Source organism: Homo sapiens, chromosome X (genome assembly GCF_000001405.40).
Source record: "Homo sapiens chromosome X, GRCh38.p14 Primary Assembly".
Taxonomy (NCBI): domain Eukaryota; kingdom Metazoa; phylum Chordata; class Mammalia; order Primates; family Hominidae; genus Homo; species Homo sapiens.
In genome coordinates this window covers 47,540,926-47,555,380 of record NC_000023.11, presented here as the reverse complement: position 1 = coordinate 47,555,380, position 14,455 = coordinate 47,540,926, and the positions used below count along the sequence as shown (strand labels likewise).

At 44.1% G+C, this 14,455-nt stretch overlaps 1 annotated feature.

Moving 5' to 3' along the window:
- Positions 13,897 to 14,191: an enhancer, noted in NCBI's record as "tiled region #9461; HepG2 Activating DNase unmatched - State 12:CtcfO". NCBI's record gives its function as "activates a minimal TATA promoter and a strong SV40 promoter by Sharpr-MPRA in HepG2 cells {active_cell/tissue: HepG2}" and the evidence as "EXISTENCE:reporter gene assay evidence [ECO:0000049][PMID:27701403]".

Below are 14,455 nucleotides of genomic sequence, written 5' to 3'. Positions count from 1 at the left end.
CCTTCTCTATTAAAAATACAAAAAAATTAGCCGGGCATGGTGGTGGACACCTGTAGTCCCAGCTACTCAGGAGGCTGAGGCAGGAGAATGGTGTGAACCCGGGAGGCAGAGTTTGCAGTGAGCCAAGATCACGCCACTGCACTCCAGCCTGGGCGACACAGCGAGACTCCTTTAAAAAAAAAAAAAAAGTGCAGGCTGATATATTTTCCACTTCCAAACCCAAGGATCAGATGAGTGGAAAAACATGATTAAACCAAATAACAGTCGTATAATTTTATTATTAAAGATTTACTCTGATGAGGACATTCTGTGCTAAGTATGATTATTTCTCAAATAGGAAAATATTTACTAGTTAAGCAAAGGGATCAATATGAACCCATAAACAAACACTGAGCAGTGGGGGCAACCTTTAAGATGCCATGGACAGTGACAGACACCTCTCTCCCTCCCTGGTAGCTCCCTTGGTAGGGATTGCAATTCAGTATGGTCAGCAATTATTTTTAAAGTGTAATTAATTAAACAAAGAAACAAAAAGCATTTCCACCAAACAAGGAATTCTGAAATGTCTTCTTTTGGTTTCAATCAGAAATACACTTTGTAAAAATTTTCTCAAGGTTTACACATTTATTCCAAGCACATATACACTGACCCACAGTAGATTTCACCACCCATCATAGGAGAAAAAAAAGTGTAATATCTGTTGGTTTACATCATCTATATTTAATAAATTTTGATTCAATTTATAAAATTATTGTAAATGAAATTTCAAATATACTCCAAATAATTTTCATTTTTTCTGGATAAGTGAACCACATGTTGTCTTTGCTATATCATTATTGATATAATATAACATGTAGTCCTCTCTGTATATAGTATAAAATAGCTTGCAATAGTTTTTGTCACCCATGTAAATGTTGCCTACCATGATGTGGTATGAGAAAATCAATTCTGAAGTTACCCAGAATGCCTTAATACTTGACCACTTATCTAGTTAGTGTGTGTGAATATCCTCAGGTCCTGCTATGTATTAATAACTGTGCGATCTTGGACAAGCTGTTTCTTCTCTTGGTGTCTGTTTCATCTTTAATTTTTTTTTAACTTTAAGTCAACTGATTATAGGCTTTAACATCTTTAATATTTTCTAAAAGTATTTTCACCATAGGGTTCTTGTAAGATTCTGTGAACTAATCTGCATCAAACTTTACAGAATGCCTGATGCATAGTGACTGTGTAGTACTTATTAACTGTTCCTGTTATCACTGTCATCACCACTGAAATTATTAAAGTATCAAAGCAAATATCTATGTCCCTTGGCAGTACTTATTGAATGATCCAAGTTCAAGGACACTGATAAGATTACACAAGAATAAACACCCCAATAATCCAAAATGAAGTCTAGTTTCATTTCAGAAGGTTCAGTCACAGCATCGACAGATGTTTTAGCAATCCTGGTGGCCTGCAGGTACCCAGGTCAGCCAGTGCTGGCCAGTAGTGTTTGTTATGGACTAAATTGTGTTTCCCCAAAAATTACATGTTGAAGCCTTAACCCCCAGTGTGACTGTATTTTGAGATAGGGCCTTTAAAAGAGGAAATTAAGGTTAAATGAGTTCATAATGGTGGGGTCCTAATCCAATAGAATTGGTGTTCTTGTAAGAAGAGGAAGGCTGGGCGTAGTGGCTCACACCTGTAATCCCAGCACTTTGGGAGGCCGAGGCAGGAGAATCCCTTGAACCCAGGAGGCAGAGGTTGCAGTGAGTCAAGATCGCGCTATTGCACTCTAGCCTGGGCGACAAGAGCAAAATTCAAAAACAAACAAAAAAAAAAAAAAATGAAGAGGAAGAGGTGGGGTGGAGTGACTCACACCTGTAATCCCAGCACCTTGGGCAGCGAGGTGGAAGAATCACTTGAGACCAGGAGTTGAAGACCAACCTGGGCAACATAGTGAGGTCCCATCTCTACAAAAAAAAAAAATTAATTAGCTGGGCATTGGGGTGTGCACCTCTAGTCCCTGCTTCCCAGGAGGCTGAGGTGGGAGGATCACTTGAGCCCAGGACTTTTAGGTTACAGTGAGATATGATTGCACTTCAGCCTGGGTGACAGAGTAAGAACTTGACCCCCCACCCCAAAAAAAAAAAAAAAAGATGAGAAAGAGACAGCAGGGGCACGAGTGCACAAAAAAAGGCCATGTGAGGACACAGCAAGAAGGTGGCCATCTGTAAGCCAAGGAGCAAGGGCTCAGGAGGAACAAAAGCTGCTGACACCTTGATCTTGAACTTCCAGCTTTAGAATGAGAAGAAAATAAATTTCTGTTGTTTAAGCCATTCAGTCTGTGGTATTTAGTTATGGTAGCCCTAGCAAACTAATACAATGTTGTTCACATCAAGTAAATCCTTGTTGATATTTTTTAGCTTACTTGCTCTATCAGCTTTTGAAAGAGGGGAATTGAAATCTATTTCTCCCTGCAATTCTGTTGGCTTTGCTTCATGTAATTTGAAGCTCTGTTTTAGGTGCATAAGTGTCTTTTGTTTTTTTTATTTTTATTTTTTATTTTTTTGAGACTGAGTCTCACTCTGTTACCCAGGCTGGAGTGCAGTGGCGTGATATCGGCTCACTGCAACCTCTGCCTCCCGGATTCAAGCGATTCTCCTGCCTCAGCCTCCCGAGTAGCTAGGACTACAGGTATGCGCCACCACACCTGGCTAATTTTTGTATTTTTAGTACAGACGGGGTTTCACCATGTTGGCCAGGCTGGTCTCGAACTCCTGACCTCAGGTGATCCACCTATCTTGGCCTCCCAAAGTGCTGAGATTACAGGCGTGAGCCACCACACCTGGCCAGGTACATAAGTGTTTAGCATTGTTATGTTCTCTTGATTAATTGACTGCTTTATCATTATGGAATGGCCTTCTTTTCCATTATATATTTTTTGCTCTGGAATCTAAATTGTGTGATATTTGTATAGCTACCCCAGCTTTCTTTTCACCGGTGTTAATACAGTGTATTTTTCCCCGTGGCACACACCTGTAGTCCCAGCTACTCAGGAGGCTGAGGTGGGAGGATCAATTGAGCCCAGGAGGTCAAGGCTGCAATGGGTGTGATCACACCACTGTACTCCAGCCTGGGCAACAGACCCTGTCCCCACCCCCACCTTCCCATCGAGAAAAGAAGAGAAAAGAACACAGAGAGATTAGTGTATCCTTTTGCCAAATTCCCCCCATAATAACATATTGCAAAACTATAGTACAATATTATGACAAAGAAATGTATTCGATTCAAGGAGTCTACCAGATTTCACCTCAATTCCTCCTCTCTGTGCTATGGCCTGGAAACTCTATCCCTTATCACGGCAGTGAGCTGCGACAGTCATAGGGCTCACCTTGTTTATTTCCCATTTCTCAGGGGCCACTGTCCTACATTGCCTGATATCCAGTGTCTTTAAAACCTTTGTTTCACTTACATAGTCTGGGATTTTTTGGCTGTTTCAGATGGGAAGTTACATTTGGTCCCTGTTAATTGATTTTGGCTAGAAGCAGAAGTGCCTGTTCCTTTTCTTAATGACTCCGCACAATCTGCAAAACCAATACCTTGGGTGCTTTTCTCAAAGTAATGATATAACTCTGGCCAAAGTTTCTTTCTTTCTTTCTTTTTTGAGATAGGGACTCACTCTGGTCACCAAGACTGGAGTGCAGTGGCACAATCATGGCTCGCTGCAGCCTCAAACTTCTAGGCTCAAGTGATCCTCCCACCTCAGCCTCCTGAGTAGCTAGGATTACAAGGCACGTGCCACCCCCCACCACGATTACTTTTTTTTTTTTTCATAGAGACAGGGTCTCCCTATGTTGCCCAGGCTGATCTCAAACTCCTGGGCTCAAGCTATCCTCCTACCTCAGCCTCCCAAAAATGTTGGGATTATAGGCGTGAGCCATTGCATCTGGCCCCAAAGTCTCTCTCTTTTTTTTTTTTTTTTTTTTTTTTGAGGTGGAGTCTCGCTCTGTCGCCCAGGCTGGAGTGCAGTGGCATGATCTTGGCTCACTGCAACCTGTGTCTCCTGAGCAGCTGGGACTACAGGTGCGTGCCACCAGGCCCGGCTAATTTTTGTATTTTTAGTAGAGACAGGGTTTCACCATGTTGGCCAGGCTGGTCTGAAACTCCTGACCTCAAATAATCCGCCCTCCTCAGCCTCCCAAAGTGCTGGGATTACAAGCATGAGCCACCGTGCCCGGCCCCAAAGTCTGTTTAAAAGCTGCTGTTTACCCCAAAACTTTTGGCTTCTTTCACACTGGCAGGAGAAGTTTCTCTACACAGAGTATCTTTTCTCTTGAGAAGGACTGTCTGTCAACCCTGGGTTTAATTAATTCTAGACTAGCAGTTAAATGCTTGGTGTAGAAATAGTCTACAAGAAGCCTCTCTGAACCTATTCTGGTTCAAAAAGAAACAGTCTAGATACACAATATACTTCAGCACAATATTTCTGTCAGTCACCTCTTTTTTTTTATTTATTTTTTTCTTTTTTTGAGACGGAGTCTCGCTCTATCCCCCAGGCTGGAGTGCAGTGGCACAATCTCGGCTCACTGCAACCTCCACCTCCCGGGTTCAAGCGATTCTCCTGTCTCAGCTTCCTGATTAGCTGGGTTTACAGGTGAGCGCCACCACGCCTGGCTAATTTTGGTATTTTTAGTAGAGACGGGGTTTCACCATGTTGGTCAGGCTGGTCTCAAACTCCTGACCTCGTGATCCGCCTGCCTCAGCCTCCCGAAGTGCTGGGATTACAAGCATGAGCCACCGCACCTGGCACCAGTCACCTCTTTTATATGAAACATAAATATCTTTAGGCATAGAGAGAATATTCTCTGAGCCCTCTGGAATAAAAAGTACTATGCTATAGAATTTCATCCTCAGCTTTAATATCTAATGAAATGTTACCAATATATTTATGGGGAACAGGTGTGTCTAGTACATTTAGCTTGTTATTTATGGTAGAGAATGAAGGCACCTTAACCATGTTATGGACTCAATGTTTGAGTCCCAAAACTCATATGTGGGAAACTCTAACCCCTAGTGTGGCTATATTTGGAGATAGGGCCTCTAAAGAAGCAATTAAGGTTTAATGAGGTCATAAGAGTGGGATGCCGATCTGAGGGACTGGTGTCCTCATAAAAAAAGACACCAAGACCTCGTCCCCTCTCATGCCCAAAAAAGAGGTCACCTGAGCACACAGCGAGAGAGCGGCCACCTACAAACCCAGACAAGTAGCCTCAGAATAAATCTACCTTGCCTGTACCTGCCTCCAGAACTATGAGAAAATAAATGTCTATTGTTTAAGCCCCCAAGTCTCTGTGTATTTTGTCATGGCAGCCCAAGCAAGTAATACACCATATTTCTTGTTCAAGGATGGGATCTTGTTTAAGGTGGCTCACACCTGTAAACCCAGCACTGTGGGAGGCCAAGGCAGGAGGACTGCTTGAGCCCAGGAGTTCAAGACCAGTCTGGGCAACAAAGTGAAACCCCATCTCTACAAGAAATCAAAAAATTAGCTGGGCATGGTGGCACACACCTGTAGTCCTAGCTACTTGGGAGGCTGAGGCCTGAGGATTGCTTCAGCATGGGAGATTGAGGCTGCAGTGGGCTATGATCAGGCCACTGCACCCCAGCCTGGTGAAAGAGCAAGACCCTGTCTCAAAAACAAAACAAAACAAAACAAAAAACTGATCTGGGAACGTTTCTTTCCTCTAGATTACACAACATTTTTTGTCTCAGATTCAAGTTCTCAATAACTCCATGATCAAAGATGATGTTATCCAGGGGCATGGAAGGAAAATATTCAAATGTCTTTTATGTTTCCTTGGGAAATCACTAAAAAACAATAAGTTACTGATATCCGCAAATGCACTCACCTGACAACCTTTGACATTTTATAGGCGATGCCTAATTTTCAAGTCTAAATTTTTTTTTTTTTTGAGATGGAGTTTCGCTCTTATCACCCAGGCTAGAGTGCAGTGGTGCGATCTCGGCTCACTGCAACCTCTGCCTCCCAGGTTCAAGTGATTCTCCTGCCTCAGCCTCCCAAGTAGCTGAGATTACAGGCACCCACCACCACACCCGGCTAATTTTTGTATTTTTGTAGAGACAGGGTTTTACCATGTTGGCCAGGCTGGTCTCGAACTCCTGACCTCAGGTGATCCACCCACCTCGGCCTCCCAAAGTGCTGGGATTACAGGCATGAGCCACTGCCCCTGGCCTAAGTCTAAACATTACTCTATCTCATGAGCACTCTTTTTCAATACAGAAGGAAAAAGAGATGTCTTGTGGCACAAATGTAGAGTGGGGTGTCTGAAGTTGGGATCAGTCCAGGCAAAAGCTGACAAAGTCAAGGTTCAGCAGATATGGAAAATAAGAACCTCTTTTCTCCCTCCCTGGTCCCAAGGATGAGAAAGCTGAACTCGGTAGGGACAGAATGAGGGGTCCTAGATCTGTCTTTCACAGCAGGCCTACCCTAGCTCCTCTAAATCTGTGTTTACTCTTTTATCCCAATCTTGTTCCTGAAACAATGTCATCTGTATTATAATATTAGAATGATTTTGATTGATGCTAAAAACATGGTACTGAATCTATTGAGAATGCCACAGAAGAGTGAGTTTCACTTAAACTTCCTGTTTAAAAAGTGGAGCTCTTGTGAGAAATGACATCTTTTTTTTTTTTTTTTTTTTTGAGACGAAGTCTGGCTCTGTTGCCCAGGCTAGAGTACAGTGGCACAATCTCGGCTCACTGCAACCTCTACCTCCTGGGTTCAAGCAATTCTTCTGCCTCTGCCTCCCAAGTAGCTGGGACTACAGGTGCCTACCACCACTCCCAGCTAATTTTTGTATTTTCAGTAGAGATGGGGTTTCACCATATTGGCCAGGCTGGTCTCGAACTCCTGACGTCAGGTGATCCACCTGCCTTGGCCTCCCAAAGTGCTGGGATTACAGGCGTGAGCCACCGTGCCTGGCCCATGCCTGGCTCTTAATACGAAGTTCTAATTCAGATACAATTCTCAATTTCTAGAGCAATATATATATATTTTTACAACTAGAGGGCAGGTTTTCATGTTTTATCCAACAGTCTGAGTGACTTTGTATTTGTGCAAACTAATAGAAAACCAAGCTGAGTTAAATAACTTTTTCCATTTGTATCTTCATTCAAAATGCACACATTTCACAGTAGGCTGAAAGTTTGCAACTTGAGGTGTAATCTAGATATATAATATTAACTTTATATTATATACATAAGTTTGTTGAAACCATGTACTTTTTGAGACAGGGTCTTGCTCTGTCACCCAGGCTGGAGTGTAGTGGCATGATCACGGCTCACTGAAGCCTCAGACTGCTGGGCTCAAGGGATCCTCCCAACTCAGCCTCTGGAGTCTCAGTAGCTGGGACTACAGGCGTGCACAACCAGGCCCAGTTAATTTTTTAATTTTCTGTACAGATGAGGTCTCACTGTGTTGCTCAGGCTGGTCTCAAATTCCTGGGCTCAAGTGATCCTCCCACCTCAGCTTCCCCAAGCGCTGGGATTTCAGGCATGAGCCACCACGCCCAGCTCTGAAACCATGTACCTTGAAGCCAAAGACTCATCCATCTAATCAGGTAGTCACAATGTTTATCATTTCCTTTAAAACCTTACAGCATAGGCAGCAAGATAAAAAGGAGATATTGCAGGTTGGTTTTTCTTTTTTTTTTTTTTGAGATGGAGTCTCGCTCTGTCACCCAGGCTGGAGTGCAGTGGCATGATCTCAGCTCACTGAAACCTCTGCTTCCTGGGTTCAAGTGATTCTCCTGCCTCAGCCTCCTGAGTAGCTGAGATTACAGGCACTCAACACCACACGCAGCTAATTTTTGTATTTTTAGTAGAGACGGGGTTTCACCCTGTTGGCCAGGCTGGTCTCGAACTCCTGACCTCAAGTGATCCGCCCGCCTCGGCCTTCCAAAGTGCTGGGAGGTTGGTTTTTCTAACCAGCCGGCTCTGAGATGGAGTTGAGCGCACAGACTGTTTACTTGCTATCAATGCATGTGAAGGAAAGCGGAAGAGGTAGGATTGGACAGAGGGACCATACAGCTATGATACAGTCCCTAGCACAGCCTTGGATGATCCTGCAGGAAAGTTCTGGAGCTACGTTGGTCCATCAGAGATTTCTCGAGCTGGCTGAAGATGACCAGGCCTTCGTATCCCCTCATTGATCAATTGTGGATGTGGACTGCCCTGGGAAGGGTATGCCCTTGCACAAGGAGGCTTTCCGCAGCTGAGGCCACTCCTGAAGGGGCTGGCAATTGAGAGCTATCTGCTCACAGCACTGCCAGTGCTGGAAAAACAAGCCCCTGCTTGAAGTGGGATCCAGGAGGCACATCAGAGTGTCTGCCTCAGGTAGGTTGGTCTTAATTGACACCTGAGGACAACAAGTCATTCTAATTGGGAGTTCCTAACCATGCACAGTGAGCTGACATTTGATTAGAAAGGTCTCACTGTGGGCTGGGCGCAGTGGCTCATGCCTGTAATCCCAGCACTTTGGGAGGCCCAGGCGGGTGGATCACTTGAAGCCAGGAGTTCGAGACCAGCCTGGCCAACGTGGTGAAACCGTCTCTAATAAAAATACAAAAATTAGCCGGGTGTGGTGGCCCATGCTTGTAATCCCAGCTACTCAGGAGGCTGAGGCATGAGAATCACTTGAACCCGGGAGGCAGAGGTTGCAGTGAGCCGAGATCATGCCACTGCACTCCAGCCTGGGTGACAGAGTGAGACTCAGTCTCAAAAAAAAAAAAAAAAAGAAAGGTGTCACTGTGGAAGGCTACTAATAGTTGTTTATCTACCATGCAACACTGGAGGCTTTGATAATTTGTAAAATGAGCATTTTAAATGTCTTTTCATTTGCAACATTAGTGTTTGTTATTAGCTTGTGGATGTTAGAAATGGGCTCCCACGGGTCAAATCACTGGGGTTTAAGATCTGTGCACCAACTAAAATATTTAGAGAAATCCTGCACTGGCATGACCCACATAGTAAAGAGATGCCTCCTTAGGCTCTGTGGACATGTGTTTGCATCTCTGGCTGATAGAGAGTGTGTATCCTTAAAGTTAATAGATATCGCCAAGCTATTTCCAATGACAATACACCTATTGACAGTTCCATCAGACTTTTACATGTTTGACAATCTTTTTTTTTTTTGAGATGGAGTCTGGCTCTGTCACCAAGCTAGAGTGCAGTGGTGCGATCTTGGCTCACTGCAACCTCTGACTCCCTGGTTCAAGCTATTCTCCCGCCTCAGCCTCCCGAGTAGCTGGGATTACAGGCGCCTACCACCACGCCCAGCTAATTTTTGTATTTTTAGTAGAGACGGGGTTTTACCATGTTGGCCAGGATGGTCTCAATCTCCTGACATCGTGATCCGCCAGCCTCGGCCTCCCAAAGTGCTAGGATTATGGGCGTGAGCCACCGCGCCTGGCCATGTTTGACAATCTTATTGTGGTTTTAATGTGCAATTTCCTTGTTTCTAGTGAGACAGAGCCCTTTTTCACATGTTTAGATGTCATCTGAACTTCCTTCACTGTGAGTTGCTGATAGTTATTCTTTTCCATTGTGTTTCTTCTTTTTATATTGATTTACAAAACTCCATTATTTACTAAAGGCTTTACAGTTAGTTCTGCCTTTCTTTCTTTCTCTTTTTTTTTTTTTTTTCTGAGACACTGTCTCACTCTGTCATCCAGGTTGGAGTGCAGTGGCGCAGCCATGGTTCACTGCAACCTCTGCCTTACAGGTTCAAGTGATTCTGGTGCCTCAGCCTCCCGAGTAGCTGGGACTACAGGTGCATGCCACTAGGCCCAACTGATTTTTAAATTTTCAGTTGAGATGAGGTCTCACTATGTTGCCCAGGCTGGTCTTGAACTCCTGAGCTCAAGTGATCCCCCCATCTCAGCCTCCCTAAGTGCTGGGATTACAGGCATGAGCCACCATACTGGGCCTAGTTCTGCCTTTCATGTTCAGATCTATAATATCCTGTGAGTTGATGTTTGGTGGATAGTGTGCAATAGGGAACCAATTTTATTTATTTATTTTTCCCTATAGATATGCAATTGGGCTCAGATTTTTTTTTTTTTTTTAGACAGGGTCTCACTCTGTCACCCAGGCTGGAGTGCAGTAGTGCAGTCATAGCTCACTATAACCTTGAACAACTGGGCTCAAGTGACCCTCCCACCTCAGCATCCTGAGTAGCTGGGACTACAGGTACACGCCACCACATCCAGGTAATTTTCTTATTGTTTGTAGAGACAGGGTTTCACCATGTTGCCAAGGCTGGTCTTGAGCTCCTGGCCTCAAACAATCCTCCCGCCCCAGCCTCCCAAAGCACTGGGATTCCAGGCATAAGCCACCTCACCCAGCTCAGAACCACTGTTTTGAAAGGTCTGCCCTTCCCCATTGATCTGTAATAACACCTTGATCATAGACCAAGGGTCCATGCTGGGCATGCTGCTGTGCTTTCCATCCACCTTCATTTATCTGCTTGTCTATCCCTGCAGCAGTACCATGCTGTGCTAAGTTATATGTGCTCTGACATCTGGTGGAACAAGTTCTTCCAAATTTGCTTTTCTTTAAGAAGAACATCTATACAGTGTTCTTTTTTTTGAGACAGAGTCTCGCTCTGTCGCCCAGGCTGGAGTGCAGTAGCGTGATCTTGGCTCACCACAACCTCCGCCTCCTGGGTTCAAGCGATTCTCCTGCCTCAGCCTCCCCAGTAGCTGGGACTACAGGCGCCCACCACCATGCCCGGCTAATTTTTTTGTGTTTTTGTATTTGTATTATTTTGTATTTGTAGAGATGGGATTTCACTATGTTGGCCAGGCTGGTCTTGAACTCCTGACCTCATGATCCGTCCACCTCGGCCTCCCAAAGTGGTGGAATTACAGGCGTGAACCACAGCGCCCGGCCCATCTATGCAATATTCTAAGCCCACCCCTCACAGGTCCTAAAGTAAGAATCCAAATAGAAGCCACACACCACATATATTAATATTTACAAATTATTAATAAAACTAAAAATTTCCATCCCTTCCCTGGAACCCCAAGCAACCACCAATTATTTATTTATTATAGAGATGGAGTCTCACTATGTTGCCCAGGCTGGTCTTGAAGTCTTGGCCTCAAGTGATCCTTCCGCCTCAGCCTCCCAAAATGCTGGGATTACAGGCATGAGCCATCATGCCCAGCCAACCACTGATCTTTTATTCCCTCATCAGTTTCACCTTTTCCAGAAATGTCATATACTTGGAATCACAGTATGTAACCTTTTAAACTGGCTTCTTTCACTTAACAATATTCATTTAAATATCACCTGAGTCTTTTCATGGCTTAATAGCTAATTTCTTCTTTTTATTTTAGAACATCTTAAATTTTTAATCCTTATTTACAGGTTACCTCGACCACTTCTGATTGAGAAAACTAGCAGCCAAGTGCAATGGCTCACGCCTGTAATCCCAGCAATTTGGGAGGCCAAGGTGGAAGGATTGCTTGAGCCCAGGAGTTCAAGACCAGCCTGCACAACAGAGTGAGATCCCGTCTCTACAAAAAAATTAAAAATTAGCTGGGTGTGGTGGTTGCCCGCCTGCGGTCCCAGCTACTTGAGAAGCTGAGGTGAGATCTCTTGAGCCCAGGAGGTTGAGGCTGCGGTGAGCTGTGATCACACCCCTGCACCCCAGTCTGGATGACACAGGGAGACTATCTCTAAACAAAAGCATACAGGGTAAAATTTTAGCAAGTGAGGAATCTGGATAGAGGATATACAGTTCTTTGTTCTATTCTTACAAGTTTTCTGTTTGAAATTATTTCAAAATAAGCATTTTATTTTATTATTTATTTATTTATTTAGAGGCAGAGTCTCGCTTTGTCGCCCAGGCTGGAGTGCAATGGCTCAATCTTGGCTCACCGCAACCTCCGCCTCCTGGGTTCAAGCAGTTCTCCTGTCTCAGCCTCCAAAGCAGCTAGGATTACAGGCACACGCCACCACGCCTGGCTAATTTTTGTATTTTTAGTAGAGATGGGGTTTCACCATATTAGCCAGGGTGGTCTCGATCTCCTGACCTCGTGATCCACCCACCTCAGCCTCCCAAAGTGCTGGGATTACAGGCGTGAGCCACCGCGCCCAGCCTTATTTTATTTTATTTTATTTTTATTTTTTTGAGACAAAGTCTCGCTCTGTCGCTCAGGCTGGAGTGCAGTGGTGCGATCTTGGCTTACTGCAACCTCCACCATCTGGGTTTAAGAGATCCTTGTGCCTCAGCCTCCCAAGTAGCTGGGACTACAGGCACCTGCCACCATGCCTGGCTAATTTTTGTATTTTTAGTAGAGACGGGGTTTCACCATGTTGGCCAGGCTGGTCTCAAACTCCTGACCTCAAGTGATCCACCCGCCTCAGCCTCCCAAAGTGCTGGGATTACAGGCGTGAGCCACCGCGCTCAGCACAAAATAAGCATTTTAAAATGCAAAACAAAATATGGTGGAAAAGAGAAGAAATCCCCTATCTTGGAACTAAAGAATGCCTACAAACATACTTATTCTGTATGTCTACATATATGTACATAGGACTTCCATGTCAGCAGGTTTGGCTCAAGGGTTTCCTGGCCCTTCCTTGTACTCACAGTTTAGAGAAGCCCTCCGTGTCTGCAATGGGTTTGATGACTGGGCCCATCCACGGGTACTGAGGAAGGCAATGCCCAGAGGGCAGAGGCCAGTTAAGGTCCAAGGAGATGAGGTCTCCCTGAAGAATAGTTGGAGGACTAAAGAATGAGTGGGGCTTAGCCAAGTGACAGCTGGGGTTGGAGTGATAGTAACAGTTCCAGTTTCCTAAGAAGAGGGGCTTGTGATCTAGATGAGGTCCCTTTTTCTTCGGAGGGTTGGGGAGTTCATGGTATGAAAAGTATCTGAATCTCTAAATATTTGTGGAATAAATGGGTAAATGATCCTTTCATTCAAAATATACTTTAATGACAGAAAGTCATCAGACAGGGTCTTCTCTTCCTTGAAATCAAGATAAAAATAACGGCACTTCATGGTGCAGTGTTTTTCATTTCTTTCTGGAAAAGATATCTGTACCCTCTGCACATAAGTGGGTGCTTCTACTTTTTGGCTACAAGGGTTAAAATGATCAGTTATATATATATAGGCTAAATAAATTACTTTCTTGTATATTATTTTACACATAAGCACCCACTTATGTTCTAAAAATTCTTTTAATACAGATTTTTAAAAATTGCTCCAAGTGTTTTTAATCTTTTTGATGGGCATATATTTACTTCCTGTCTCTTGCCTTTTTGTTGTTGTTTGTTTGTTTGTTTTGAGACAGACTGGAGTGCAGTGGCGCGATCTCGGCTCACTGCAACCACCGCCTCCCGGGTTCAAGCAATTTTCGTTCCTCAGCCTCCCGAGTAGCTGGGATTACAGGCGCCCGACACCACACCCAGCTAAGTTTCGTATTTTTGTAGAGAGAGGGTTTCACCATGTTGGCCAGGCTGGTCCCGAACTCCTGACCTCAAATAATCCACCCACCTTGGCCTCCCAAAGTGCTGGGATTAAAGGCATGAGCCACCACACCCAGCCGCTTTTTCAAACTATATTTTCTCTTTCTGAAAAGAGAATATTCAAAATAAAAGAAACACGATAATGGTGTAAAATCTGGGAAATTAAAGAATGGAGTGAAATAAGCCATAATCTCTTTAGTAGTAATCATGGTTTACCATTGTGATATATTCCTTTTTAATGCATTTTCCTCTGAAGGCTTTATATGTCTCTATATCTTTTAAATACATTTTAAAATGAGAATAGGAATCTGAGGGGAATAAAAGCTGTAATATAAAATACGCGCAGGCTCATTCACATGATGGAAATGTTTTCCAGAGCCACTGGGTATTCTTAGAAACCATTTCTACCGCCGCCTAGACTAAAAGGAAGTGCAGACACCGTCAGTTGTTAGCTGACCGGCTGCAACTGGAACCTGAGAGCCCTTTGGCTGGAGTGTGGGAGGAGAGGAATTCTCGTTCCTGATTTGCTGATTGGTGTCTGCAGTGTCTTCTGTGTATGCCTGACTGTGGCTCAGAATACAGGGCCCTCTGCTGGGCTATGTGGAAAATTCCATCCAGGGAATTTTCTGGAAAGAACCGAGCCATGGAGAATGTAGGGGAAATATTCTAAGAACTAAAGAAAACAACTAAGTACTCATTTGACTTGATACAAGTTGGAAACTGCTTGGCAGATACAATATTGACGTGGTCAAATTAGAAAGCTCACCCCCCACACACACATCCACCCTCCTTTTTGTTATAAACATCTGAGATGTACTGCTGTGTGAAGTTTATTTTTAAAAGTTAATGACTAAAATGGGCCGGGCACAGTGGCTCACGCCTGTAATCCCAGCACTGTGTGAGGCTGAGGTGGGT